This window comes from Homo sapiens, chromosome 17, assembly GCF_000001405.40.
Source record: "Homo sapiens chromosome 17, GRCh38.p14 Primary Assembly".
NCBI lineage: Eukaryota > Metazoa > Chordata > Mammalia > Primates > Hominidae > Homo > Homo sapiens.
The window spans coordinates 47,842,980-47,870,634 of NC_000017.11; the positions used below are offsets into that span (position 1 = coordinate 47,842,980).

General features: G+C 53.5%; 1 protein-coding gene across 3 annotated transcripts in view, besides 7 other annotated features; it reads right to left on the reverse strand.

The window, feature by feature from the left end:
- Positions 144-193: an enhancer, noted in NCBI's record as "active region_12319". NCBI's record gives its function as "activates an Ori minimal core promoter by ATAC-STARR-seq in GM12878 lymphoblastoid cells {active_cell/tissue: GM12878}" and the evidence as "EXISTENCE:reporter gene assay evidence [ECO:0000049][PMID:35858748]".
- Positions 1,929-27,655, reverse strand: part of SP6 (Sp6 transcription factor) — a 31,404-nt gene continuing 5,677 nt past the window's right edge. The window contains exons 1-2 of one of the 3 annotated variants that reach the window (NM_199262.3): positions 12,675-12,718; positions 1,929-5,507 (exon numbers count right to left, since the gene is read on the reverse strand). In NM_199262.3, coding sequence (NP_954871.1) covers positions 4,320-5,450 — 1,131 coding nt within the window. In that variant the 5' untranslated portion in view covers positions 5,451-5,507; positions 12,675-12,718 and the 3' untranslated portion in view covers positions 1,929-4,319. Of the gene's footprint in view, positions 5,508-7,939; positions 8,185-12,674; positions 12,719-27,655 lie in introns of those variants that run through there. The other 2 variants (NM_001258248.2, XM_006722115.4) reach the window with 2 other exon arrangements.
- Positions 4,138-4,746: an enhancer, noted in NCBI's record as "H3K27ac-H3K4me1 hESC enhancer chr17:45924483-45925091 (GRCh37/hg19 assembly coordinates)". NCBI's record gives its function as "activates a minimal SCP1, AML or CMV promoter by ChIP-STARR-seq in naive H9 embryonic stem cells {active_cell/tissue: H9 hESC(naive)}" and the evidence as "EXISTENCE:reporter gene assay evidence [ECO:0000049][PMID:30033119]".
- Positions 10,813-11,004: a silencer, noted in NCBI's record as "fragment chr17:45931158-45931349 (GRCh37/hg19 assembly coordinates)". NCBI's record gives its function as "represses an EF-1alpha promoter that drives an FKBP-Casp9 reporter gene in an ReSE screen in HepG2 liver carcinoma cells {active_cell/tissue: HepG2}" and the evidence as "EXISTENCE:reporter gene assay evidence [ECO:0000049][PMID:32094911]".
- Positions 23,534-24,044: an enhancer, noted in NCBI's record as "H3K4me1 hESC enhancer chr17:45943879-45944389 (GRCh37/hg19 assembly coordinates)". NCBI's record gives its function as "activates a minimal SCP1, AML or CMV promoter by ChIP-STARR-seq in naive H9 embryonic stem cells {active_cell/tissue: H9 hESC(naive)}" and the evidence as "EXISTENCE:reporter gene assay evidence [ECO:0000049][PMID:30033119]".
- Positions 23,534-24,889: a biological region, named in NCBI's record as "BRD4-independent group 4 enhancer GRCh37_chr17:45944035-45945234". NCBI's record gives its function as "regulatory_interactions: SP6".
- Positions 23,690-24,889: an enhancer, noted in NCBI's record as "BRD4-independent group 4 enhancer chr17:45944035-45945234 (GRCh37/hg19 assembly coordinates)". NCBI's record gives its function as "activates an origin of replication core promoter dependent on BRD2, P300/CBP, MED14 and CDK7 cofactors, and independent of BRD4, by STARR-seq in HCT116 cells {active_cell/tissue: HCT116}" and the evidence as "EXISTENCE:reporter gene assay evidence [ECO:0000049][PMID:35650434]".
- Positions 23,770-24,572: a transcriptional cis regulatory region, noted in NCBI's record as "candidate enhancer chr17.3281 targeted for multiplex CRISPR interference". NCBI's record gives its function as "positively regulates SP6 gene expression with high confidence in K562 cells {active_cell/tissue: K562}" and the evidence as "EXISTENCE:mutant phenotype evidence [ECO:0000015][PMID:30612741]".

Sequence of the window (27,655 nt, forward strand, 5' to 3'; positions counted from 1 at the left end):
CTAACAGTGTTTTAGTGGAGTTTGGCCTTCTTTCAAGCCTACTGTGCTAGGGTGCTGGCGGTCAGTCATGCTAGGATTAATGGGAAGGTGAAGGCTGTTTCTGATACAGTGTCGGGGAGGGATTGTGAGGTTGCCAATTAATGTCATTCCAGAAGCAAACATCGAAGCTGCGTGCTGAGAAATCTGGGCACCTGAAGCAGCTTGCAGGAAGGCGGGTTCATCTCCTGCAGTTTCCCGGCTTCCCACTGTGGGGCGGAAACAGGCAGGAGGAGAGGCAGAGAGAGGCCACAGCGCACCCCCAGGTTGCAGTTTCCAGGCTGTCTTCTTCTCTGTCACTTTCTCATTTCTTATTTCATTCACCCACCCTAGAGGTTAGGAGTAGATTCTACTTCCACTTCCCAGGAGAGGAACCCAGAGAGCCAGCCCAGATGTTCTGATTTCCCTAACCCTTTCCTGGGCCATCCATGATCCTCCTGCCAGGCACCCCATCTGAGGGGGGTCAGAGGTGGCTTTGGGTTCCGTCGTGGGGGGGATGGGGGGCAGGCCAGCCAGGCAGCATTTCCAGCAAGGAAGCAAGTGTCAGAGCCCCACCAAAGGCCCCTGCTAAGAATGCAGGTCAGCGGGAGGAGCTGCATGGGGAGGAGGGGTGGCCCCAGCCCTGCCCAGACAGGCCCAGCCGGCCGCACAGCTGCCCTCCTGTCCCTGGGGGCAGCGATGGGGGTAAAGGAGGAGGGGACTCACCAAGTTCCTGGGGTCTAACTCCCCTAGAACCAGGAAGACAAAAGAGGCACCTGGAGGAGTGGGGCTGGCATAAGGTCTTAGGAAAACACACCTGTCCTTCCTCCTCCCAGCCTTCTAAATCTAGCAGCAGGTGGAAACAAAACAATTGGCCCCAAACCAGTCTGGTTTCCTCTACAACCCCTAAATCATTCATTCTGATGCCCCTATCCTAAGGTAGCCATAAAGGTTGTGACCCCAGGATCCCAAATTAAGTTATGGGATGGGCCAGCCTGAGTACCAGATTTGGCTTCGAGAAATTGGGTTAGGGTTAGAGTGGTGGATCTAGAAATCCCACTAGGGGAAAATAATACTTTTGGCAAAAAGGTAGAATGAGAAGGTGAAAGAACATAGTAACCCCCGCCCCCCAGCCCCCTTGGAGCCCAAAACCTATCTTCTGTCAACCTTCCTGGCTTTGGGGCTCTGGAATCATGAGGCTTTCTACTCATTTGATGTGAATTAGGCACCAACTTTGTATCAAGCACTGGGAGGCCTGGGAAGATGTGTACAGATAGATATTTCTGCATATCTCTGGGGGCGGGTGCACGTGGGTCCAGTGCGGGTATGTTTGTGTGCCTTGTGGTTGTGTAACCATGGTGGGTCTCTAGCTGTGAGCTACAGTAGGAGCCTTTCCCTCATACTTTCCAGCTGGGCAGGAGCCCATCAGATAGCTCGGCTGCCTTTCATCGCCTTGTCCCTGATAAGGATCATCCTGGGTGAAGTAATCACTGCCAATCACCCCCAGCTCAGTCACAGGCAGGGGATGGACTGACATGCACCCTCTATGGGGATGGAGTGAGGGAGCCAGTGCCTGGGAAAGAGGGAACCAGTGTTCTTAGCAGGGGAAGGGAAAGAAGGGGCTTGTATGTGGAAGAGGAAAGAGATATCTAGAAACTTCTCATAACCACAGGTATGAGACCAGGGAGGGACAGCCCGGGTACCAACCCAGAGGAAGAACCTCCCTCCTTCTGTACCAGCCACCTCTGGGGCAGGATCAGACCCCAGCTCCAACCCAACTCAATAGACATGAGGCTTTCCAAGGGGCTGCAGGATCACTGGGAAGCATCCACCCCACTCTGTGGCCCAGACCTGGTCCTCACTGCTGAGGGACACTGAGTCAAAAAGGAAACAGAGCTGGAACACAAAGGAAGCATGATGTAGTTGATGACTTTATTGCATAAAAAACACAGGCTGTTTCTCCCTCCTCCTACCCCCTCAAAGTGAGTTCACAGCAGTTAAAGAAAAAATAAATTCCTACATTTTTCCTCTAGGGGGACTGCCTAGAAAGACAGGCAGCCAAGCAGCCTAGATCTATAAAAGAGGGGAGCAGAAGAAAACCTATCCAAAGCCTCTACCCGCATACCTCAGAGCTTGGGGCTTCCATTGGGGGGAGCATCTGTGTCCACCAGCAACACCCATTTGGGAGTTCCCCTTAGGATGGCCACTGGAAAAGGCTGTCTTGGTGGCACAGGGAAGGGGTGGCTGGTTTCGATGGGTGGAGGAGAAAGGCATCTTACACCCACGGTGCCCTTCCTCTTTCCCCCTCTCCACCTGGCCAGGCAACCTGCAGGCACTGCCAAATCTCCTCCTGCCCCCAACCCTCTCAGCAAGGAAGGGGATCTCTGGTTGGGTTAGCAGGAGGTAGGGAAAAGAGAAAGAAAGAAAGAACATTACTTCTTAAACTACCCCAGGCCAATGAGTTCCTCGGGAAGGTCATCCTGTCCCTTTTAAGGAGGGCCCCTTTGTATACAAACACATATTCCCACCCAGATCCCAGCCCCCACTTCCCATATAGCTCCCAGACCTTGGCTGGGCTCCAGCATCTACAAAGGAGGAAGAGATGCTGGGCCCAGATCCCAGGATCTTGGACATGGTGAATAAGATGGGGTCTCCCTGGCTAGAGACCCCAGGCTCAGTAGAGAAACACACATACATGCACACAGGTACACACAACATGCACACACATAACCTAATATTAAATAAAATACCCTTTGCTTATAACTTAAAAATCAATACACAGCTAATCTCTGCAGAGGGCTCCGGGTGAAGAAAGGGAGCGAGGGGAAGGGGGAGGGGTGTCAGAGGGACTGTAAGGCCCCTCTCTTGAGTGTGGGAAAGCCCTCCGGCTGCAAGGGCTGTGGCCTGTCAGACCCTTCCTCATATCAGCTTCTTTCCCCTCTGCCTGGCTCAGCTTCTGCTGGGCTTCTCCCCTCCCTCCTTTCCTCTCTCCCCCACCCCATGATCAGAATCAAAATGTGTTTCTAGCATCTAAAGGAGAAGGGAATGGGGACAGCTTCCTGGATGTCACCTCAGAAGGCAGAACCCCTTCCAGTGGGAGAACAACTCTTTCCTCTCCCTTCCCCTGTGAGATGAGGGGGAGGAAGGAATCCCCTAATGAACATGCTATGGCAGGGGCAAGGGAAAGACAAGGGCCAAGCTAGAGAGACAGTGGGGTTTATTTTCTTGGTGACAGCTAAAGAGATGGTCAGGTAGGCTGCAGGCCTCCACTCTGAGTGGGAACCAGTGGAGGTCCCTCTGATGAGACACCCCCAATCTGCCCTCAACCAGCCCAAGAAACCCTCTTCCTTCCATCCCTGAGGGGAAGGCAACTGGTGGGAACTACATGGATTCTACCGCTGGCTGCCTTGAAAACACACCTAGGGTAATAGATGGGGAATGTGAGACTACTGAACTTTATTTATCATAGACCAAGAATTAAGGGCTGAATCAGAGGTGGAGAGGGAAGGGGTTAGTTCCTTCCATACCCCACCAAATCCCTATCTCTCATTTTAGAAGAGGACTTCCCTACTCGCCCCCTCCATCTATCTCGGTCCTTTATCGCCAGCCCTGGCTGGGAGGCTGTCAGGAATGGCAGCCCTCTTTCCCTCTTCCTTCATGGCTCCAACAGACTGGGTCTGAAAGGGTTAATAAGGAAGCTCATCAAAGGAGTTATTTTTACAGCAACAACCCTCCAAACCAGAAAGAGACACCCCTGCCAAGGGGGACCCCCAGGCTCCCCCATCCCATCTCGGCTCTCCCTCCGGAAACCCTAGGGGCAGAAGCACTTTAAGTGGGATGAAAGGGACCCCGCCGCAGGGCGGCTCCGGAGGCGCTTTTATGTCCTGGTTCCCAGGCGCTAAGGACGTGTCCAGACAGCCACCACCAGCGCCCCGGGCCGGCCCCACTTCTCTCTGCTCCGGGGACTGGGACTTGCTGTCTCCTCTAGCCTGTCCCCGCCAGCCAGCCGCGGTACGGGTGTCCCACCCCAACCCCCCAGCCCAGGGGCGAGGGAAACTGTGAGGCAGGGGAGAACAGAGGGGCATTGCGCAGCTCCTACCGACCCAGTCAAATTCATCCTGCCTAGTAGCCCCAGAGACTAAGAACCCCTAGCGCCCCATCTCCCTGTCCCTGCACCACTTTTCCTCCTCCCTGAATAAATACGCACCTTCCCCTCTTCCTCAAGCCACCCCCAAGGACGTCAGACCTGGGGGCTCGCATCCAGTGCCCCCCGGGATACCCGCAGGGAGGCGGCACTGAGGAGCTCAGTTGGAGGGAGCCACGCTGCCCTCGGCCTCGCGTTTGCCTTTGCCCCCGGGGGGCTCCACTGCGCCGCCGGCCTTGCCCTCTCCCGAGGCCGCCCCAGCCGCCTCCTCCTTGGCGCCCTCGTGGGTTTTCATGTGCTTGGCCAGGTGGTCGCTGCGCATGAAGACGCGGCTGCAGACTGCACAGGGGAACTTCTTGGTGCCGGTGTGGGTCTGGAGGTGGCGCTGCAGCTCGTCCGAGCGCGTGAAGCGCTTGCCGCAGAAGAGCCAGTTGCACACGAAGGGACGGTCGCCGCTGTGCCAGCGCAGGTGCGCCTTCAGGTGCGACGTCTTGGCGTAGGCTTTCCCGCAGCCCGGGATGTGGCAGTTGTGCAAATGCTTCTTCTTGCCCCCATCGGGCCCACATGGAGCCCCCAGTCGCTCCGCCTCCAGACAGTTGGGGCAGCGACAGACGGTCTGGCCTGAGCTGCGGGGCACCGACCGCCGGGAGCCTTTGGGACGCGCCGCCCCGTCCAGGCTGGAATCCAGCCCTTGAGACTCCGGGGCGGCTACTTCCAAGGCCTTAGCCCCGTCGGGCGGCCCTAGGAGATGCTGCCCTCCGGCAGCTGGAAGGAGGTGGTGCGCATGCGGGTGGGGTGGCGGGGCACAAAGCTGGTGGTCTCCGACGTAGCCCCCCAAGCCCGCCTGAAGCGCCCCCGGGTGGCCAGGTGAGGTCAGCGCGCCCTGAGTGTGGGGGAGGTCCATCCAGCTGGTGCCCGGATGAAGGTCCCACCACGAGCCATCCTCCGCGCCTGGGTGAGTCGGCCTGAACCACGATTCATAATGGTGTGACATGTCCGGCTGCAGGAGCTTGGAAAAGGGGCCCGGGGCCAAGGGACTGTCGCTTTCCAGGTCCTCGCAGGTTACCCGCGAGGAGGCCCCTGGCAGCTCATAGCCCTGCGAGAAGTCCACCTCCGGGCCCAGCGGGAGGCTCTGCAGCTCTCCAGGCTGCAGCGGGGAGGGGTAGTCCCCGGCCTCAGGGCTCGTGTGGCCCTGGTAAGTTTGGAGAGGCTGCAGGTCGAGGCGCGGCGGGGAGGCGTGCGGCGCTTCCGTGTGCTGGCTGCCCAGAGAGCCGCAGACAGCGGTTAGCATTGCCGGGATCCGGGGTGGGGTGAGGGCAGGGACGGTCAGGGGCACCTCAGACGGGACCTAAAGGAGGCGAAGAAGCAGAAAAGTAAGGGAAATAACCAGCTCACTTTCCCTCCTAACCCAGGTCCTCCTCTCTGGCCCCAGGTGTAAAAGAAGGATGCACCTCTGAACGAGGACTAGAGATGAGTTTAGAGAATTCGGGAGTGCGAGGAAGGGTCCAAGATGTGAGGTTCTCATCCAAGCACAGAGGATGATGGAGGTCTACCTTCCTCTGGGTGATCCCTGCCGTATGACCCAGCTCATCCCTAGAGTTGGGCCACTCCCAGGATGGTAGGTCAGATACACCTACAGCACAGTGCTAGAACCATCCCCACCCCAGCTGCCCAGGCCAACACAAGGGGCAGTGGCATTTTCCCCCTGCAGACCTGCTGTCAGCCCAAATGGAGGATCTAGACACATCTCAGCTTCCCCAGTTTAACTCAGGATACAGATGGGAGAGGGGATGGTCTATTTCTGAAACCCAAAGCTTCAGGTGACCTGCCCCTCATAAAGCCTCAAACGGGTCCTGAGTCTTTGAAAGAGTTCTCATGCCATTCCCAAAGCATGTTCAGTAATGAAAAGCATTTCACCGTCTACGCTGCTCCCCGCCTGGCCTGGTCACATCGGGCCCACTAAACCGACTCACATGCCCCCACCCCCTTCCCTCAAGCAGGGACTTCACCTCCCTGGGGAGCAGCTTTCTGGCCACCAGATACCCCTGGAATCTGGGAGATACCCCCACCAGAGAAAACCAAATTTCCATCCCTCTCTTGACTCATACCAGTGCCAGGCAACTCTCTGACTGCTACCCATCTTCCTCTCCATGCTAGGGGAGGCCCAGATAGAAAGTTGGGAGGGAATGGCTTCCCCAGAGAAGAGCTTGACAGCAAGCTCTGGAAGATACAATTGCACCCCTTTAAGTGATACAAGGTCAGAGTGCAGGAAGAGGAGGGCAACAAGAGAAGTCATAACCACAGAACCTAAGAGCAAGAATTGCCCAAAAAGATGACATAAGCAAGTGCATCCTAGGCATGGATCATTTTTCAGAAGCTCCCCACCACCACCAGAAGATTCTTATATGCAGCAAATGTTGAGAACCACTGCTCCAGGCCAATCTTCTTATTTTGAAGAGAAGGAAGCAGACTGAATGACTTGGCACAGTGACTTGGACAAGGATGTTCATTTATTCATTCAATAAACCAGGTCTCCTAACTCCTGGACTCTCAGTCTGTTACTTTCTGTAAACCAATCTTTCTGTAGACCCTTAGAACGCTAAAGACCCCCAACGCTTTCTCAACCACATATCTGTGGCTTGAAGTTCACTCTTTTCTCACCACCTCTCCCTAAGGCCTGGAAGCCCTGGTGCCTCAGCTGGGCAGGTTTGTGTGCCTGGGTCTTCTCTACTGGTGGGGGAGGAGACCAGTGACTTAGGGCAGGATTGTTTCCTTCCTACAGCAGGGCTTAGCTGACCCTACCATCTCCTGCCTCTGGGACCAGGGAGGTGGCACTGATAGCCTGGGAGAGGGAGGGAGAGGAGGACGGGGGCACCTACTCAGGCTCCGGCTGCCTCACCACAAGAGGAAAACAGGGTGAAGTTGCAGGAAAGGAGCCCCAGGCCGGGGTGGGGCAGCACAGAAGGGGCTGAGCGGGAGCTGTGAAGCCAGGGACCCTAACAGCTTTTGGTGCCTGGGAACTGCCCCAGGGGCTGGAGGATGGGAAGGCTAGGATAATCTGGGCTCCAGAGTGGCTTCTCCTGGCAGAGAGCTGGAGAGCCCAGGCCTGGGATGCAATGGCCTGCTACCAAGATTTCAGAAACCCAAAGCGGGGTGATTCTCAGGTTCTAAGACCAGTCCCACTGGGTGGAAAACTGCCCTGGAGCTGGCTCAGTCTAGCAGAAGATGCAAGACTAAGACCCAGGAGAATAGAGGAGGGGGCAGGTCTTGGGGGTGATATGGAGCCACCCTTAGGTGGCAACCCTTAGGTTGCCTCTATGGTCCTTGACCCACCTGCCCCAGAGCTGAGAGGAAAGAAGGGAACAGGATTGAGTGCCAAGTATGTGTCCGGTTCACTTCCAGGCCTAGAAAGAGTTCAGGAAAGGAGAGAGCACAGCGTACATCGCAGGCTTCTCGCTCCCCGAAGTGGGAAGGCAAGTCGGTGCACCCTTATGCCCCATTCGGCTCTGCCTCTCTGGATCACCGGCTAGTACTCCCAGTTCTCAATGTCCCGGTCCTCTGGTTGTCCCAGTCGCTCCAGTTGCCCCGGTTTCCAGCCTCCTCGGTCCCTCCAGTCTCTCCCGTCCGCCCAGTTTTCCCTCCATCGGGGTTCTAACCTCTCAGATCCTTTAGGACCACCCCGCTCCCAAGGCCATAGGAGGCTGGGGCGCGTTCGGAGTGCGTTTTTTCGAGACAATCTCCGTAGCGCTCACCCCTGGCCACCCCGACCCGCGCTCCTACCTCGAGGCTGCGGCGGGCTCCGGGCACGGCTGGCTGGTGCGCTACTGACGGTCGCTCATAGGCCCTGTGCGCCGGCGAGCTCTCCAGCGGTAAGGGGCAGGAGCCCAGGGCGAGCCAGACCCGGCGGCTGGCGGCAGGCGGCAGGCGGCGGAGGTGAGCGCTGGCGAGAGGGCGGAGGACGGAGGGCGGGCAGGAGCCAGCGAGCGAACAAGGCCAGCTCCGCCCGTGACTCACCCGCGCTCTCTGCCTTCATCCTCTCCCCAGCGCTGCTTTTTCCCCCGGACTCGCGGCCCCGCCCACCTCACCTGCGGCCGCCTTTAACCCTTGAGGGCTCGGCTGGACCGGAGCCCAGCCAGGGCCGCGAGGAGGGGGTGGGCGGGAGTGGGGGAGGAAAGATAACTAGGGCGTGCGCCGCCCGCTCCCTCGCTCCTCCCTGGTCCCCTCCACTCCCAGGGAGAGGGGCCCGGGTGGGGTGATTCCCAGGTTCTAAGACCCGCCCCGCCGGGTGGAAAACTGCCCTGGAGCTAGCTCGGTCTAGCAGAGGACGCAGGACTAAGACCCAGGGGGAATGGATAAGGGGGCAGGTCCTGGGGGTGAGACAGAGCCACCCTTAGGCAGCAACCCTTAGGTTGCCTCGATGGCCCTTGACCCTCTCTGAACGGACAGCCCTGCCCCGGAACTGGGAGGAAAGAAGGAAACAAGATTGAGCGCCAAGTATGTTTCCAGTTCGCCTCTAGGCCTAGGCCGTGTGAAATTTGTCTTGGCTGCCCTCCTTCGCCATTCCCCCGACCCCCGACCCCCGTCCCCTGCCCTGCCTCACCCCCCGCACCCCGCGCCGCTTCTCTCCACCACCACCCTTCCCCGTCCTTTTTTCCCTCTCCCTTCCGGGGTATCCCTCTCTGACCTTTCTGGGTGACCACCTCCTCTCCTCCCCTCTCCCAGCCTCTGCCCACCACCGGTCTCTGCTTCCCCCCTACTCTGGTCCCAGGTCCCAGCAGCTGTCACTCTGCCCCTCCCCTTAGGTAGCAACCCCAGTGCCTAAGAAATCCACCTCTCAAATTCGCCTCTCCTCGCCCTCCTGTCCTTCGGGAAATGCTCAGCCTACGCACACCCTCGCCCCCGAGCACCCGGTTCTGAAGAATGGGCAGGCGCCTGAATGGCCCTGGGAAGGGACACTTCTGGAAGGAATTGAGCTATCCCTTGCCACCATTCCTTTCTAATTCTCACCAGAATAACTAAACCCAAGGTTCTTAACTTTGGGGAGGGGTCTTGGATTCCTTTGAGAAAAATTCACATGCCCAGTGCAATATTCTGGTAAAATTTCAGCGCGCTCGCGGAGCTCACAAAAACTTCCCTCAAGATCTGGATGGGTCGACATTTCCGAGACCCGCAAAGCACCGGTGGGTAGGGAAGTTCCGTCCTCCACCCACGCATTCTTCTGCCTGGCCGCTGAGGTGGCCCCATGCTTCACTCCCATGCCGCAGTGTTGATCTCTCCATGTGACCCCTTTTTTCACAGGGGAATGCAGATTAATTTCCCTATTTCTTTCATTTTTCAGATTCGTCTCCTCTGTGCGCTTTGCCGTCGGCTTTTTAAAATTTCGTTTTCCTCTTTACAGTCGATTTCATACTTGAATTTAGGCTGATTTAATCTCGCCTCTACAGCCCCTACTCCCCCCCGCCATTGGTTTACCTGTCCTGCATGCCCGTTTGGGACACACTCAAACTGTAACTCAAAAATAGCTAAACCGAGTGCATAAGCGGGGTGAAAATCAATCCATGTGTGTATGCGTATGTGCATGGTACCCCTCAGACACGCACACGTTCTTATCCAGAATCGACGTCGGATTCATCTGTGCATCTCCCTCTTTTCTAAGGCTCATTTCCCTCATCCGGACAACCTGGGTACACATTGGTAGGGTCTCCTGGGGGCTTAAAGGAATTGATATGCCTAAAAATGCTTAGCCCAAGGGGCCCCTGGTAAGCGCCGGGTAAATGGAAGATATCCTTGTTATAATTATTAAATAAGTCAGTTCCAGGTAAATATTGGTTGGATTAAGGTGTATGCACAAAGACCTGTGGACTAGAAGTTGACGGATTTAAATTCTAGCCCCAGCCCTGCACTTGCTAAACTGACCCTGGCAGGTCAGGTGCCTCTAAGCCTCAGTTTCTTCCTTGGTGAAATGCTGTAAAAGCAGCCACCAAGCTAGAGAAGTGACAGGTATTTGGAAGCCGGAGATGCCGCCTGACATCGGGGGATTGAGATTTCTGATCAGTCGGGGTTTGCTTTTTGCCTTCTTGTTACTTGGGGCTCTGGATGTGGATTCACAGGAACTGCTCTGGATCTTTGTGGCCATGGCTAATTTGACAATCAATCCTCTTCATCAACGCAGCTTTGTCTCCATCCATTCAGCCTACAAATCCTGGCCAGTTGGGTTTGTATCCTAGTTCACAGCTACCTCTGGAATGGAGTAGACACTCATCAGGTCCAAAACAGAGCCCCCAGTGGGGGACTCTGGTTCCTGATTTGACCTCTGGGCATTCCTGCCTCCTCCTCCAAGCTGCCTGCTGGTGCTGCATCTACTGTTCCTAAGGTGCTAAAGCCTGTGCAGGGGTCTGACTCTGGGTAGGGGACCAAGTTCCCCTCCCATTTATAGGCATCAGATTGCCTTCTCTTCCTGGCCCCTTCTGCCTTTTCCCTGGAAAGCAACAGGGATTCAGCCCGAGGATGGTAGACACTCCCTGCTACTTTCACTCTAGGCCCCCTTTAGCCCTGCCCCGATCCAACCAGACCTGTAGCCATCTGGAATTCCACCAGCAAAGACCCTCCATCTGCCTGCAGCTCATCAGCAGGAAATTCAACAACAATGCAGTTGTCTCTGGAAACTCCCAGCCATTCTGATTTCCTGCTCTGCCTAGGTTTCTGCTGCTCACTCAGGGTACTGGCACTATCTTTCCTCCAGTCCCCCTCTACTTGCAGTCCTCTGCTTCCAGCCCTTTTGGTTTCCCACTTGCTAAATGTTTTCCCACCGAATGACGGCGCATGGTCTGATGTTAACTTAATGAGCAAGGTCACCACAGCCCATTGCCCATATACTTATTGCTACTCAAAATTGAACAACACAGCCCATCACATCTCCTGTATAAACTGAGATCTGTCTTGGACTTGGGCCATTTCTGCTGCTCTTCCTCATTCTCTCAAATAAATAGTCAGATTTCCCCTGCAAGTGTCCAACCCCCATTCCTGCCACCCCTCTTCTTCTCAAGCTTCATCTATAGTCAGTGATCCACTTTGTACCTGGAGAAATCTCATTAGTCTGCGTGTTTATCACAAACGGCATTTATTTACTGAGCACCTACTATGTTCCAGATGCTTTACACAAATATCTCTAATTCTCATGGGCATGCAGCAAAGTAATTATTATTATTCCCGTTGTACAGATGAGGAAGCCAAAGATCAAAGAAGTTAAATGATCTACCCAAGATTACAGAGTTGTTAAAAGACAGAAGAAGAAACTGAGTTCAGATCTCTCAGGTTCCAAAGCCTGTATTCTGCCTACTAGTCCATCTGGCCTCAATATGGCAGAATTGATGACCCTGGAAGTCTGGCTCCCCTAGAGCCTGAAGGTGGAGGAAACAGCATTCTTAAATGAATCCCTAGATCAAAGCCATCTCCTATCTTGAGTCTAATGGACAAACTGATCCCATCTTGAATTGCTGAGACAAGTCAGACTCTACACTTGTGATCCCTTCCAAACTTCAACTGTCCTGTAGAGATTGCACTATGAGAATATCAAAGCTGGTCTAGCCCCAAATTGTCTCGTCCAAGCCCTCGTTTTACTGGTAGGGAAACCAAACCCCAAAACAGGGACGTTAGTAGCAAGTTAGAAGCAGAGCTGGGACCAGACCAGAGTCTGGTCCTGTTTTCCTCTTCTCACTCACTCCTCTCCTCCATTTCCCACTCCCACCTTCGGGCTGCACTTCCAAGCCTGCAAGCTGATGACCCTGGATGCCAACATATTCCTTATTTCCCCTCCTCTCCCCACCATACTCTCCTGATTCTTAGAAAACCAGATAGAGCCTAAAGCTGGGGTCAAATAGTTTTCTTTCATTCATCCTTTATTTCATTCAACAAACACTTATCGAGGGTCTACTTAAGGCCAAGCACAATGCTGGACACTAATTTTATTATAAATTTCAAAATCCCTAGCTACCACCATCGCTTTTCAGTCTAGAAGATGAACCCACCTGAGGATAGTGCATCTGTATGTCGGTGTGTGTATATCTACAAATGTGTGTACATATTATGCCTGTGTGTACCTGTGGGCTTGAGTGTAGGGTGTCTTCTCTCCTCCACCGTAAATGCAGTTCCCCATAGGATGTGGATAGTGGTTTCTCCCTTACTATCCTTGCAGGTGTTCTGTCATTCAGGGCAGTGAGTGTGTGTGCCCTGTATTTCTATTAACATTTATTTGCCCTTCCTTTCTCTCGAAATAAAGTTCCCAGCTATGAATCCCTACCCCACTTCTCCACTGGGCTGACTACCCCAGCCCAGTCAAAAGACCTCCAAGGGATCCCTTTAGTTCTCCATGCAAACCCCACCAAGATCTCCCTCTTATCTCCCCCTTCCCAATTCAGAGAGAACCAGACCCTTCTCTATGACCCCCACTTTAGAGTGGAGACCTGATCCTCTTTGTGGAGGTCCCCTGTACTGGACAGGGAACAGCCTCTCTTACCAGTCCATGGAGCCCAGAGCTGGCGGCGGCAGTGAGGGCCAAGTGGCGGTGATAAAAGAGCCAGGCTTTATAAAGGAGGTGACAGGCAGTGCCAAAGGGGGAGGTGAAGGAGGGAGCAGGGATGCTGCCAAGTCCTCACGGCCTCAGAAGCTTTTAGGATAATCCAGGAAACAGTGGCCCCCAGCTCTCCTAGGGGAGTGGTAGGAGGTGAGATCTGAGTCCGTGAGGTCTGCCAGGAAAGGAGGATTTCAGCTGGGAGTGGGGGCTGGGGGCACTTCCTTCCTTCCGCAGAGTTGGCTGGGCAGTGGGAGAGGGACAAAGTGGTTCTTGCAGGATGGAGGAAATGACAGCATTGCTAGGGTGGAGAGCTGGGATAGCTGGAACTCTCCAAATTCCATCCCCTCTTCCTGAGTTTTCCTCCATGGACTTGGTAAGAGAGAAAGAAGTTCCATTTTTGAGACCTGAAGGGCTCATGCCCCCAACAAACACACACACACCACACGTCTTCAAGTCAGTTCCTCCTTGCAGAGCTTCATGTCAGTGTTGTTGGCCTCTCTGAGCCACAATTTCTCTCGCTCCCTTTTCATCCTCTTTTTACATACTCACTTCCCAACTTGGATCCCCCAAGAGGACCCAGTGTAATCTATCTTTTGGACCTGGGATCTCTCATTGTCAAATGGGAAGGGAGGACCTTTTCCCTGACTTTGGATGGAGTGGGGAAGCTTAGGATGGACAAGAGGTCACCTAAGACCAGAAAGACCAGAGGCAGAGTCCAGCCAAGAACTGCTACAGACAGTTCAGGACTCCTGGAACTCCAGGAGGGTGAAGAGGGTAGGAAGGTGGCCTGGAAAAGGGAGAAGGGGCCTGAAGGTGAATTTAGGGGGAGCCCCCAGATCTCTATTTATATGAGCCTAATTTTAGGGTGGTTGTAAGTTTAGGTATACTGGCTAACACAAACATGTCCCAGGGCAGAGATGGACAAAAGACCAGGAAGGAGAACGGAGATGAAACAGAAGAGTAAGACTTGTTTCCCAAAGCTCACTGAAGCTGTGAACTCTGACCCACATAGGAGAGTGGCCTGGGGACTTTTCACGGGATGACATCCTGTTTTTGACCACAGCCCAATGCCCTTGGCAGAGGACAGGAGCAGTTGTACCCCCTCTACACACACCAGAACCCAGTACCCCAAGACTTACATGCTACCTCCCTCCCAGGATGAGCCAGGGAGTCTTTACCCAAAACTCTTCTCCTGCTCCTCCCCTATACCCTCAGCAACCTCTAGACTGGGGATTCCCAGTCTCTTCATTAACTTTTCAGCAATTATCCCATAAAGGCCCTGACAGGTCCTTCCTCTCCCCATTTCAGAGATGAGAACACTGAGGCCCTGAAGAGGTAAAAGCTCAGCAGAAAGCCACCCATCAAGCAGGAGAGAATAGAGTATTAGAGGGCTTAGGAGGCAGAGCTGGACCTCTTTCTTCAATCTTAGGCAAAATTGGGAGGACAGGGCCAGCACAACCCCCTGGGGGAACCCAGGCATCAGGACTGAGGCAGGCTCCAGGGAGGGGCTTCCCTGTCCCTCCCCACCTTCCAGCACAGAAAATCAGAGTGGGGAGGGGAAACAAGCTGAGGAGACCACACAGGTGGAGTAAATAATGTTAATACGGGAGCATTATCACTAGGGCATTTCCTCATGGATAAATGTCTCAAATACCAAAGGATGCCTCCAAATTATAGTTAATTACAGAGTTGATTTGCATAAATTATAAGGTGAGCATACAAATTCTTTCAATCGGTTCCATATGCTTAGGTAGCAGGTCCAGTCCAAAAGATGGGAGAATCTTGGGGTTGGGGGGGAGTTTGGGAGAGGAAAAAGACCCAGCCCTCAACCTGGACCTTCAGGCCCACACACCTTCCCCTGGCCTCTGGATCAGTCAGGGGTGTGTTTAGACCCTGCCTGGACAGCAATGAACACAGCCAGCACCCTACCTGGCAGGAGACCCCCTTTCCTCCTCTATTCGCACCTCCAGACAATGTGTTTTCCTAACACCAGTGATGGGCGGGAGAGAGGAGCTGGGAAAGCTATGGGTGGGTGCCATGCGGCCTGTAGCTTGGAGTGGGGGGCGGGACTGCAGAGTCCTGGCTTCTGGCCTTTGGAGCCAGAAGAGGGGAGGGGGCTGAGGAAGCTGAAGACCCAGTGGGGCTGAGGGTAGATTCAATTCAAGCCCCTCTCTCTTGATCTCAGCTCCCCTACCCGCCCCCTGGCCCCCACACGAGCCACCTCCCCCAACTCCAGCAGCTCACTCCCAGCGCCAGCCCTCGGATCTCAGGTTTGATGTTGCCGCTGCCTGCACCTTCCAGGTGGCTCCTCAGCGGCTCAGACTCCCAGACTTTCGTCTCCAGTGCCTGGGCCTATTTCCTCTGCCCTCGCCTCTCGGTCTCCCACCTCCTCCTCCCGCCCCTAGCTGCTAAGACTCTACTTCCTTCTTCAGCTCTCTAATTTGTTCCTCCCTCCGGCCCCCATCCTCAGCCCCAGAGGCCCATCTCCTACTGTTCTTCCTTCCATCTTTCTCCTCCTTGCCCAGCCTCCCTCCCCTAAAGATCCCAGGGCTCCCCTACACTCAGCTGTCAACTTCCCTTTTCCCACCCACCAACTGCTTTCTGCTTTCCAAGCTACTCTTCCTCCCACCCCTAAGCTTGCTTACCTCACTGTCCCCCAAATCCTTACTGCATGTAGTTCTCTGATTTTTCTCAATATACCTGCTCCAAAGGCAGACACTACTGGATTCGCTTAGGCTGCAAGGGGGAGGCTGGGCTAAGTAAGATCTCCCAAGTGTGTGCAGGTGAGAGTTTACCTTCATCTTTTTATCTTAGGGCAGGGGAAGATGATGAAGAAAGAGCCTAAAATGGTGTCTGGTACTTAGCAAGTATCTTACAAATATTTGTTTAATTGACAAATGAGGTGGAAATGGGCACTGGTCTGTGGAAATTCTGTGGAAGTGTCAACTTGCTGACAAAAATTACTACTTGTCTCGATTAATTTTCAGGTCTCCTATGCCACTTCTGTACCCACCAACCTAAGCTTTCCTGCACCTAATTAATGACAGATGAAGCATCTTTTTTTTTTTTTTTTTTTTTTTTTTTGAGACAGTCTCCCTCTATCACCCAGACTGGAGTGCAGTGGCGCCATCTTGGCTCACTGCAACCTCAGCCTCCTGGGTTCAAGTGATTCTCATGCCTCAACCTCCCAAGTAACCGGGATTACAGGCACCCACCATCATGCCTGGCTAATTTTTGTATTTTTGGTAGAGACGGAGTTTCACCACGTTGACCAGTCTCCTCTAGAACTCCTGGCCTCAGGTGATCCACCTGCCTCAGCCTCCCAAAGGGCTGGGATTACAGGCGTGAGATATGATGCCTGGCCTAATCATCCTAAAGTGCCACTCCATCTTGGCACTTCCCATCTCCAACACATCCAGTGGCTCCACAGTGCTAAATGTGTCATCCAGGACCCTCCCACTTCACCTACGCAGTCTTCTCTCCCGCTGGTCCTCATACAAACCCTACAGCCCAGCTCAGCCCAATGGATTTAATGTTCACCAAACATGTCCAGCCTTCCTACCTTTGTCGAAATCATTTCCACCCCTGCCAGCCATTCTTGCCTCTGGAAAGCACATTATCCTTCAAGCTCCTGGCTGGCACATAGGCGGCTTTCTCTGCAAAGGCTTCTCTTATCCGCACATCACTGGCATGCTCCTCTGAACTTCCTCAGCACTTATTGCCTCATGCTCTGCTTCCATGGGCTTGTTTTCTTATCTTCTCTACTGGTTGAATCCTTGAGGGCAAGAACTCTATCCTTTCATGCCACAGGGTCCTCAGGCCAGAGCCTTTCTTTGAGAAAGGGATGGATAAGCCACAGCTGAGTGAATTAGAGAAAGGGCTCCCCAGAATCCAAGCTTCCAGAAGCTCCTCAGCTTGGGGAGGGCATCAGTGAAGGCAGAAGCCTGGGTCGGGGAACTTAAAACCCAAAGATCCATGAAGTAAGCACACACAGCTTCCTACTGTCCCCCTGGCTGGCCCTGGTTGTGTGATGGAAGTGGAAGGACCCACAGAGTATCTGGGACATGCAGGGTTGGAGTGAGGGCTGAGGGAGAGTGAAGCTCCCCACCCTGTCACCCTGCTTGGAACAAGGAATTGGAGGTTTGGGGCAAAGGAGCAAGGGCGGTAAGTGGAGCCGAGAGAAAAGGCTGGCTGGGTGTCAGTCACGGAGACAGGCAGAGGCAGAAAAAGCAGAATCCCCTCAGTCCCTCGGTAGGAATTTAAACTTCTTACAAGGGTGGAAAGATCCCAGTCATGTCGTGCCTCAGCTCAAAAACATTCAATAGCCCCCCATTACCTACAGGAGAAAATCTACACTCTTAGGCCTAGGATTGAAGCCCCATTCCCCATCTGGCCTCAGCCTCCCTTTCCAGCCACATCCCTTCCCACTCCCCAGGAGGCTTCTACTCCATCCTTACCGTCCACATATTTTCACGCCCCACACTGTTCCATGTGTGAAATGCTCTTCCCCATTTCTCTGCCTGATGAGCTCCTATGGATCTTTTAAATCCCAACTCCTATGTCCCCATGCTCTCTAAAGCCTTCTCCAGTTTTTCAAGTTGTACTTTTCTGTGCTCCCATAGTTCTAAAATATAGAGCGTTTAATATTCTCTGATGGGTAATACAATTAGCTGTGTGCATGTGTAAGATCGTGAGTTCCTTGAGGGACTGGAAATTTCTGTTCATCTTTGAATCTCCCCCAGCATCTTATACAGCAACTAGTACTGAGTGTGCAATAAATATATGTTGCACTGGATTGAATTTACACCCTTTGCAGAGGACAAGGGGCTGCCAGGTCAGAGGTTGGTGAGTTCTCTATAAATCCCCTTGTCGGCTGGGTGCAATGGCCCATGCCTGTAACCCCAGCACTTTGGGAGGCGGAGGCGGGAGGATTACTTGAGGCCAGGAGTTGCAAACCAGCCTGGGCAACATAGTAAGACTCCGACTCTACAAAAAAAAAAAAAAAGTTAAAATAAATAAATAAATAAATAAATAAATAAATCCCTTTTGTCACATCACTGAGAGTTGGCCTCATGGCCTTCAAGACACTGCATCAAAAACATGCCCTGACCCTTCCTCTTTCACCCTGACACTGTGCCCAGTGCCCTGTCAGGAATCCAAGGTCAGGGGTGGCAGACAAGGCTCCATAAGAGGCCCAGTATCCTGTGTCCTGGTCAGCTGGGCACGGCCACCAACCCGCAGCCAGGGTCATCCAGAGAACCTCCAGCAGGATCCCACGAGAGGGGAATTAGAGAGGAGGCTGGGTATCAGGACCTGGCAGGCGGAATCAGGCGGGTAGGGGGAAGGAGGGCAGTGCCCTGGAAAGGGGGCCGGTCTCATTGTTGTGGTCTGTCTGGGAGATTCCTCCCCTTTTTAATTTGCTTCCTGATTGAGGGGTTGGCTCTGACTGCCCAGCTCCCCCGTCATTATCTGCTGCCGGTGGCTCAGGTGCTGGCGAGCCTGGTGTGGCCCGTAGGTTATTACCTGGAGCTCTGGGGGTGGCAGAGGCTGCCCCTCTGGCCGGGGTGGGGGCCTGTCTGGAATCTGCCCTGATCCTACCACCCACAGGGCAGCCATCTTGATGCCCAGCATAGTGGACACATTCACTTGGTTCCAAGAGTCAGCTGATCCCAGGCGGACTTCAATGTCTAGAGGAAGCTTCATCTTTCAAGTGCCTAGAGTATGGATTCAAGAACCTGAAGGCCAGGCGCAGTGGCTTATGCCTGTAATCCCAGCACTTTGGGAAGCCGAGGTGGGTGGATCACTTGAGGTCAGGAGTTCGAGACCAGCCTGGCCAACATGGTGAAAACCCATCTCTACCAAAAATACAAAAATTAGCCAGGCATGGCGGTGCGCGCCTGTAGTCCCAGCTACTTGGGAAGCTGAGGCACAAGAATCGCTTGAACCCAGGAGGCAGAGGTTGCAGTGAGCCAAGATCATGCCACTGCACTCCAGCCTGGGTCTCACTCAGACAGAGTGAGACTCCGTCTGGAAAAAAAAACAAAACCTGAGGCAGCCAGCCACGGTGGCTCACACCTATAATCCTGGCACTTTAGGAGGCCAAAGTGGGCAGACTGCTTAAGCCCAGGGATTCAAGACCAGCTTGGGCAACATAGCCAGACCCCATTTCTACAAAAAGTACAAAAATTAGTTGGGCATGGTGAGGGTGCCTGTAGTCCCAGCTACTTGGGAGGCTGAGGTAGGAGGATCACCTGAGCCCAGGAGGTCAAGGCTGCAGTGAGCTATGATCACACCACTGCATTCCAGCCTGGGAGACAGAATGAGACCCTGTCTCAGAAAAAAAAAAAAAAAGCCTGGCATGGTGGTGGCTCATGCCTGTAATCCCAGCTGTTTGAGAGGCCAAGATGAGTGGATCACCGGAGGTCAGGAGTTCGAGACCAGCCTGGCCAACGTGGTGAAACTCCATCTCTATGAAATACAAAAATTAGCCAGGTCTGGTGGCGGGTGCCTATAATCCCAGCAACTTGGGAGGCTGAGGCAGAAGAATTGCTTGAACCTGGGAGGCAGAGGTTGCAATGAACTGAGATCGTGCCACTGCCCTCCAGGCTGGGTGACAGAGCAAGACTAAGTCTCAAAAAAAAAAAAAAAAAAATTGGGTGTGGTGGCACACGCCTGTAGTCCAAGCTACTTGGGAGGCTGAGGCACGAGAATCGTTTGAACCTGGGAAGTGAAGGTTGCAGTGAACTGAGATCGCAACACTGCACTCCAGCCTGGGCCACAGAGCGAGACTTTGTCTCAAAAAAAAAAAAAAAAAAAAAAGGTAAAGCACCCAGAGTTAGATCCATTTCTCAAAGGCTGTGAAAGGAGTTAAGTCATTCATTAAGAAGTGATTCCAAGCCATGTGCGGATGAGAAAGAGACAGCAGTGAAGCTAGGGGATTCTCCTGCTGAATCCTTCCTATTCTGTGGTGTTCAGAAAACCAAGATTCGTAGAGGGGAAAAAGTGGCATTGATCTATGAACCTGGGACAACTAGAACCCAGCATGTGGGACTTCCTGTTGTGTAGGTGCAGAGGAGACTCAGCCTCCTGTAGTGCCTGGAGCATTGGACTTCAGACCTCTGCTCAGTGCCTGTGGGCGCAGCCTAGAACCCTGGCAGAGAGGGCACCCTTGCCTCTTCCATCTCTGAGTCCCCAAAGTTCTGGCCCTTTGCATTATCCTTGATTGAGCCTGTGAGCTTCAAGGACAGGAGATAATATAAAGATAAACAGGAAGTGCCAAATTAGAGACACGAAGTTTGTTGTTTTAGAGGGCGCCCAGCGCCAAGCAGCGGTGCCAGGTTGGCAGTCCTGGAGCCTGGTGTCTGCCTGCTCTCTGCACAGCCAGCTGCCCCTTGGACCACAGCAGGAGGGCCCTCTGGGCAGGAAAGGAGGATGGGATGGAGCATGGCAGGGAATGGGTTAAGCAAGTCATTCTTTTTTACCCACCAGCTGAACATTTGCAGTGTCACCTCTGATTCATTCTGGGCATTTAGTCACTCATTCCACAGATATTTTTAAGCTCCTTCCCTGTTCCAGGCATGTGCTTGGTACAGCCTCTTCCCCCAAAGCTAACATCCTCACTAGAATGTAAGCTTCATGGAGGCAGGGGGTTTCGTTCATTGCACTACTCCCAGTGCTTGGAATGGTGCCTGGGACTCTATAAGTGCTTTGTAAGTTTGTTGAATAAGTTAATGGAAGGACGAATAGATGAAGGAAGGAAGGGAAGAAAGAAGGAAGGGAGGGAGGAAGGGGGCCCTTAAGTGGGCATAGGAGGGTCCCATGATTTTTCAGTCCACTGGTCCACTGGACTTCTTCTTCTTTTTTTTTTTTTTTTTTGAGACAGAGTTTCTCTCTTGTTGCCCAGGCTGGAGTGCAATGGCGCCATCTCCGCTCACTGCAACCTCTGCCTCCCGGGTCCAAGCAATTCTCTTGCCTCAGCCTCCCAAGTAGCTGGGATTACAGGCATGTGCCACCACGCCTAATTTTGTATTTTTTTTTTTTTTTTTTGAGATGGAGTCTCGCTCTGTCGCCCAGGCTGGAGTGCAGTGGCGCGATCTCGGCTCACTGCAAGCTCCGCCTCCTGGGTTCACGCCATTCTCCTGCCTCAGCCTCCCAAGTAGCTGGGACTACAGGTGCCCACCACCAAGCCCGGCTAATTTTTTGTATTTTTAGTAGAGATGGGGTTTCACCATGTTAGCCTGCCTCGGCCTCCCAAAGTGCTGGGATTACAGGCATGAGCTACCGCGCCTGGCTTTTTTTTTTTTTTTTTTTTTTAGTAGAGATGGGGTTTCACCATGTTGGTCAGGCTGGTCTCGAACTCCTGACCTCAGGTGATCCACTCACCTTGGCCTCCCAAAGTGCTGGGATTACAGGCGTGAGCCACCACGCCTGGCCTACACTGGACTTCTTAATGAGAGCATTGATTATCCACAAGTGCTGTCCTCTCCATTCCATTCTGTCCACCTCTGAATGAGTCTTTGAGTCTTTTTTCCTTTTTTTGTTTTTGTTTTTGTTTTTGTTTTTTGTTGTTTAAGAGACAAGATTTTACTCTATTTCCCAGGCTGGAGTGCAGTGGCGCCATCATAGCTTGCAGAAGCCTCTAACTCCTGGGCTCAAGCAATCCTCCTGACTCAGCCTTCCAAGTAGCTGGGACTACAGGTGCGCCACCACATCCAGCTAATTTTTAATTTTTTTTTTTTGTAGAGATGGGTGTCTCGCTGTGTTATCCAGGCTGATCTCAAACTCCTGGCTTCAAGTGATCCTCCCATATTGGCCTCCCAAAGTGCTGGGATTACAGGTGTGAGCCACGGCACCCTGCCGAATCTTTGAGTCTGGACACCAGTAGGTGGTCATGGTCCAGTTCCTTGCCCAGATGCCCACAGGGACTTCCAGCTTCCAGGCTGCAATCACAGAGAATGAAGAAGGAAGGCTGTTCGAGAAATATGGGCAGCTCTTACAGGAAAGCCCCCCAGCCTCTAACAGGCCCTCTCTGGGCACCGAAGGTGCCAGTGGTCTTCCAAGGCCCGGGATGTGCCCTGGACGTGATTGCTCTCCTGGGTCTTGTCTTGCTGCTCTTTGCCCCCGCCCTCCTCCTCTCTACCTGATGGTGCCAGGTAAGGCTTCAGGCATGGCAGAGGCTGAACTGAGAGCCACCCTACCTTGTTCCTGTGGCTCCATCCCCCTATCCACACCCAAGAGATGAGATCCTGGGGCAGTTGGCATCTGACAGCCTGGCATCGACTCATGCCAACAGCTTGGAAGCTGCAGTAATTAGAAGGGGAGAGGGAGAGAGGGGGAGAGAAGGAGAGCGAAAGCAAGCTCTAGAGAGAAACCTTCTCCTGCCTGCCGCAGGGCAAACTACTTCAAACGAATTCGTTTCGCTCTTGTGAAACTGAAGACAATTTCCTTTTCTGTCATAAAACAAATTATTGCTCATCAGGAGTGCTGGGCTAGTCTCTTTCCTAAGGGTGTGCTCTTGCTCTTGTGCAGGAGGAGGGGAAACATTAGGGGAGGGGACCCAGGGTGCAAAAGGGATTTCCGGGAGCCATCCTGAGGGGGAGTAGGAAGAGAAGCTTTGGATAGATTCATGCTCCTCTCAGGAGTGAAACGGCGCCGTGTCCCCCTTGTCAACCTCCCCGACTGACCAGGGAAAGTGTCCAAGAAGGTACCGCTTGGCTCCAACCACCAGGACCGAAAGAGCCTCTGAGAGGGTCCAACCCTCCTCCATCCTCCTGCCTCCAAGCCACCCTGGGGAAGGCTCCACCTCCCCCCTCAGGCACCTGTTCCTGCTGTTGAGGGGTGAGGACAGGAAAGGGAGGCCCAGAGAAGTTAAGAGACTTGCCAGAGATCACTCAGCAAATTAATTAATGGCAGATCCAGGATAAGAACCAGTGGGTTCTCTTCCAGGCCAGGATCGGAGGGTGCCTGGGGACTTTTGTTAGCACCTTTATGACACTGGGTTGCTCCAGTGAGCAAACAGCATCCAAATGCTGCTGCTATCCCTAGGGGCAAAGTCTAGAAAGAAGAGCTGGTGCAGTGGGTTCCCTCCATCCCCAGTCATCAGGCCCCCATGCTGCCCCAAACATACCATTTCACCTCTCCTGGTCTTCGCTTTGAAAAACTTCCAGGGGACCTCCCTTCAGACCCACAAGAGGAATGATGGGTAATTTTTCTCTCCCCACCCCATCTACCCCACTAAATGTTCATAGCTCTTCCTTTCTCTTCTCTACACTGATCACCAGGCCAGGGCTCAGGGGAGACATGCTTCATCTTTATGCTTCAGCTCTTACCAATTTTTCATCATCTCCCCTGATAATTGCCCTCCTCCTCTCCCTCACTTCTCCAAGCTCTGGTCTCATGGCTTTTCTGGGAATTGGGGGAAATATAAAGGTTCCTGTCCCTGAGGAGCACCTAACTGGGGTGGGAGGGGATACAGACCTGACATTCACAAGCACCCAGAAGAGAAGAGAAACGGGAAGACTCTGGCTGGAAAGAACGTGGGTATCAGGATGAGGAGAGGGAGGGCAGGGAAGAAAGGTGGAGGCAAGGCCAGGGAGGGGTCTCTGAGAGGGTTTCTTGGAGAATGAGGTCAAGGAAGATGTGAGGAGGGGTATGGAGTAGAAAATCCAAGCCACGGACTGCCTGGAGACAAGGAGGAAGATGGGCCCAGGTTGGGGGCCATGGTGATGCCTGGGAAGGGGCTGGGAGCCAGGAGATAGGGTTCAAATCCCTGCCAGAGATGACGCAGGCAAATGGGAGGGCCAAATACAAACAACCATTCCAGTGATGTGGAAACCTAGTTTTAAGCCAGGGTGAATGTAGAAATGTTTGGGGATTGGCTGCCGGACCGGAGTAGCCAGACAGCCACCGTGAACAAAGGCTCTGGGATCGCATCCGCGGCCTGATGGGAGATGGAGAAATCGCCTTGCCCACCCATCTTCCCCCAGGCACGCATGTTTCTTTCCCACCCAACCCGCTGATCGGCACTCTGGAAAGAGGGACCCACCACCTGCCAAGTTCCCGCTTGGCAACATCCCCAAATGTTCTCCCTTGTGTCCAATCACAATTCCTCTGGTGGCCATTGGAGGCTTGGCAAGGAGAGGGCAGTGGGGAGATGGAAAGCGACTGCCCCTCTGAAAGTGGCTGGGAGGGAGACAGGGAGGGGGAGGTGAGCAGAGGGCAGGGCCAGGAGAGGATCGTGTCCAGGCGAAGACTCCTGCTCATCGGACACGCCACGCTGGGAATCTGAGAATCTGTGGTGGGAATGGGCCGGGCTGGCAGGAACAAAGGATGAAAGCGAGGTTGTGCGGCCGGCTGGGACGTACACACCCATCGCTGACGTACTTCGGCGGCTGATGACCTCAGCCAGGCCGTCAGACCCCGTCTTATCGCGCTGCCCCAGTGAGGGTCCCCCTGCACCAGTCCCCAAACAGGGCCTGAGAGCATGAGATAAGTCGGTTAGATGCCAGAAGTACCTGCTGTCAGGAGGAGCTCAGGGAATGACATTTCCCAGAGACAGGCGGGGTCAGAAGAGGGGATGTGGGAGGGTGAAGAGAAGCAATGAGGCTTAGAGAGAGAGTGGAGAAACCATCATGTCAGTGACCCTGACTTGAGGATCCAGGGTCCTGGTTGTCAATTCTTCGTGTCTATCTAAGAATTCTGACAGTGGGAGGGCAGGGCCCTGGCTAGGCCTGAAATACCTCTAGAGGACTTGGGTTAGACACCAAAACTTATTTGCTTTTTGGTGGCAGGAACATTAAGAGACTGAGTGAAGAACCCGTAATGATCTCAGAAAGTGTGGAATCACGCCTCTTGTGCAAGGGTAGACCACCACTTGGCCACACAGTCAGTGGAGGCTCCGATCCTCCCACCCCCACCCCCATGGACCCACTCAGCTTCCTGGGCCTCCGTGGAAACCTGTTGCTGGCATTTCATCTGTTCCTTTGGACCAGGAGCGGAGTAAGGCACTGTGGTTATGGTGTAGCTCCCTCTCGCTTGCCCCATTCTGGGGAAGAAAATGGGCTCTTACTGTTTTTTCTCTCCCAGTTTTGAGGTGAGGAGCCTGGGAAGGAAGAATCTGTCTGAAGACTTCATCTGCCCTTCTAAAGATCTCACCCCCACTGGAAGCCTTTGGCAGATCCTCAAGCACAGCCACACTGCCTGTGTGTCCCCCAACCACCCCTCACAGGGAGATATAGTTCCTCCCGAACAGAGCATGACATGCAGCCACACACATAGAGCCTCCACCAGCATGCACATGCGCACACACATGCACACACGCCCTCACTCAGTCACACATCCTCTTAGGTCATCACTTACCCAGAGGTTCATCCAGACCCCAGTGCAGGCATACACTGTGGCCGCAGCAGCCCACAGTGACCACTGGAGCAGGCACACCCCACTCACTGCAGCACAGAGCCTCGCCATGCCAACAGGCCCCCAAACACTCCCGGGATCCCCTTCACCCAAGTGGTCCCTCACACACTCTCCACTCCCATTCGGGCAAGTGTGTGCAGTGAGCAAATACTATGATAATGAAGTGCAAAGATGGACCAACATGGTGCCTCCTGTACACATGTGTTTACAAGGTGGCGGGAGACTCAGTCACATGAGCAGAGTGTTGCAAAGCAGCACTCGAAGTGCTGGAAGAGGAAAAAGCATCAAGTACCATGGGGACGACCCAAGTCTTGGAAGCCACTTGCCTACACAGCCAGTGGGGGGCACTGAGCCTTCCCACTTTCATACGTGGGCAGCCAACCCAGAGCTGCCTACATCAGAGCCAAAGTGCTCCTGACCTCCACCAAGGGACAGAGCTTTCACACTCACGAGGCCCTCACCTACTCCCTAGTAGCCTCCTAATGCCAGCCAGACCCTCCTAACCCCGACCATCATGCATACGCATAGACCCATCTTCAAGCCCTCTGCTCTCACACACCCTCCTTCCAAGGAGCCAGGGCCACTTGTCACTAGAGAAGCCATAATTGGCAGGTGCTGAGGCTGCCACGGAGCTTTGGAACAGGCAGAGGGGAGGGAGGAGAAGGGTTCCTGAGGTAGGGGGCTTGGGAGCGGGATGGGGGAAGAAGGAGGGGGCTGGCTCCAGTGCCCTCTTCTCCGCTCTGCAGGTGTAATTAGCCCTGGCAGATGAAAGGGCGTCTTTGAAAGCAGGTGAGATCCTTGTCTGTCAGCAGGGCGCTCTGGGTGGCATCGGCAGCTTATCCTGAAACCACACACGGCACCAGAGCCGGGCTGTCTGAGTGCTGCCCAGGAGGCGGGGAGGCAGACCCCAGGGGCGTGAGCCCTTGACTCCCCACTCCCCCATATCTTGGCCCTGGGCTCCCTGCTTCTATGAGCAGGAGCTTCTCAGAACAGAGTCCTCCAGAGCCTGGCAGTGCCACTCCCAATAAACTAATGCCCCATCCTTTGGGCCTGAAGGGACAGGGTACTGCCTCCCCTCCCCTGCCAAGCTGGACAGGAGGCCAAGGACAATGGCCCTAGGCAGTCCTTTCATCCTGAGATCTCAAAGCACCATCTAATTAACCCCGCCCAGGTTGGGGACTTCCTCTGGAATCCCTTTGGAGGGGTGTGGTCTGGGACCAGCGATCTTAGCTTGGATAGGAGGACCAAGAGGGCAGGATCTCCCAGTCCTCATCCTGTTTGGGATCTGGGGAGTCTGGAGGTACAGCAAATTGAGGGTGCTAACACCAAACTCTGAAAAGGGGGCTGACAGGGATCTCAGGAGAGCCTGAGTTTGACACCCAAAGGGGGATAATCCTGATGCATCCTGTCCCTCCTATTGCAGTTGGGTTCAAACTCAAGCAAAGGACGAATCTCACGGACACTCAGAGTGAAAGAGGCTGGCTCTAAAGGCGTAAACACAGTGCATGATCTCACCTACTTGAAGGTCAAAAACAGCCAGAAAAACTAATCTACACTCTTTGGAGTCAGAATAGAGATTCCTTACTTTTGGGGGGTTTAATAACCTGAAGGTGGGATAATGGGTGCTTTGGGGTGTTGGTAACCTTCTGTTCCTTGAGCTGAGTGTTGGTTACCCAGGTATGTTCATTTTGTGAAAATTCACCCAGTTTTGTGCTTATGATTTATGTATGTTCTATATTTATAACACTTTTCTATATGCATTTCATAGTTCAATAAACATTTACATTAAACATTTTTACATATCAAGCCAATACTTTGTCTTATGATTCCTTTAAGGGGCTCTCACATTTGTCTCTTTCCTCAGTTGGAAGATCAAAGAGTTTGCTCCAGAATGAAGCCCTGGTGAGGCTAGATTCTCAGAGAATTTCTGGACTGTGTGTGTGTAGGGGGAAGAAAGACAGGAGGCTGTGCAGAGCCAACACATTGATACACCCTATTCCCTACCCCCATCCCCACTGCAATCCTCAGACACACTAACCTATTTCACTTTGCTAAAAACCAATGAATGCTTTGATGCCAAGGGAACCAATGAGATAACTGGGATCCCTGCTGTCCTCTGCCCTACCCCCACTATCTGCTCCTGAAATCTGTTCCCAGTCAGGGTCCTACCCTCTCCACCTCTCGTGGTCAGCTCTGTCCCTTTCATCTCCCTCCTCTGCTTCAGGGTCTAAAAGAGATAGCTTTGGAGGGGTGGAGAGTGTTTGTGAAGAAGCTGCTGGTCCCCACCTCATCAAATGACATCCCTGCTTCTTTCTCTCCACCCAGGAAAAAGGCAGGAGGCATTGATTTCCCCTCCTGCCACTGAGGGAGAGGGCTTTGAGCTGGACTTCCTGATAACTGGGGTGGTAAGAAGTCCTTGGAGGGGGTGAACAAAAGCCAGGATTATTTAAAGACTGACCTGTCTGGAGACAGGGAGAGATCAGATCAGTTTACGGGGTCCTAAGCTTGCT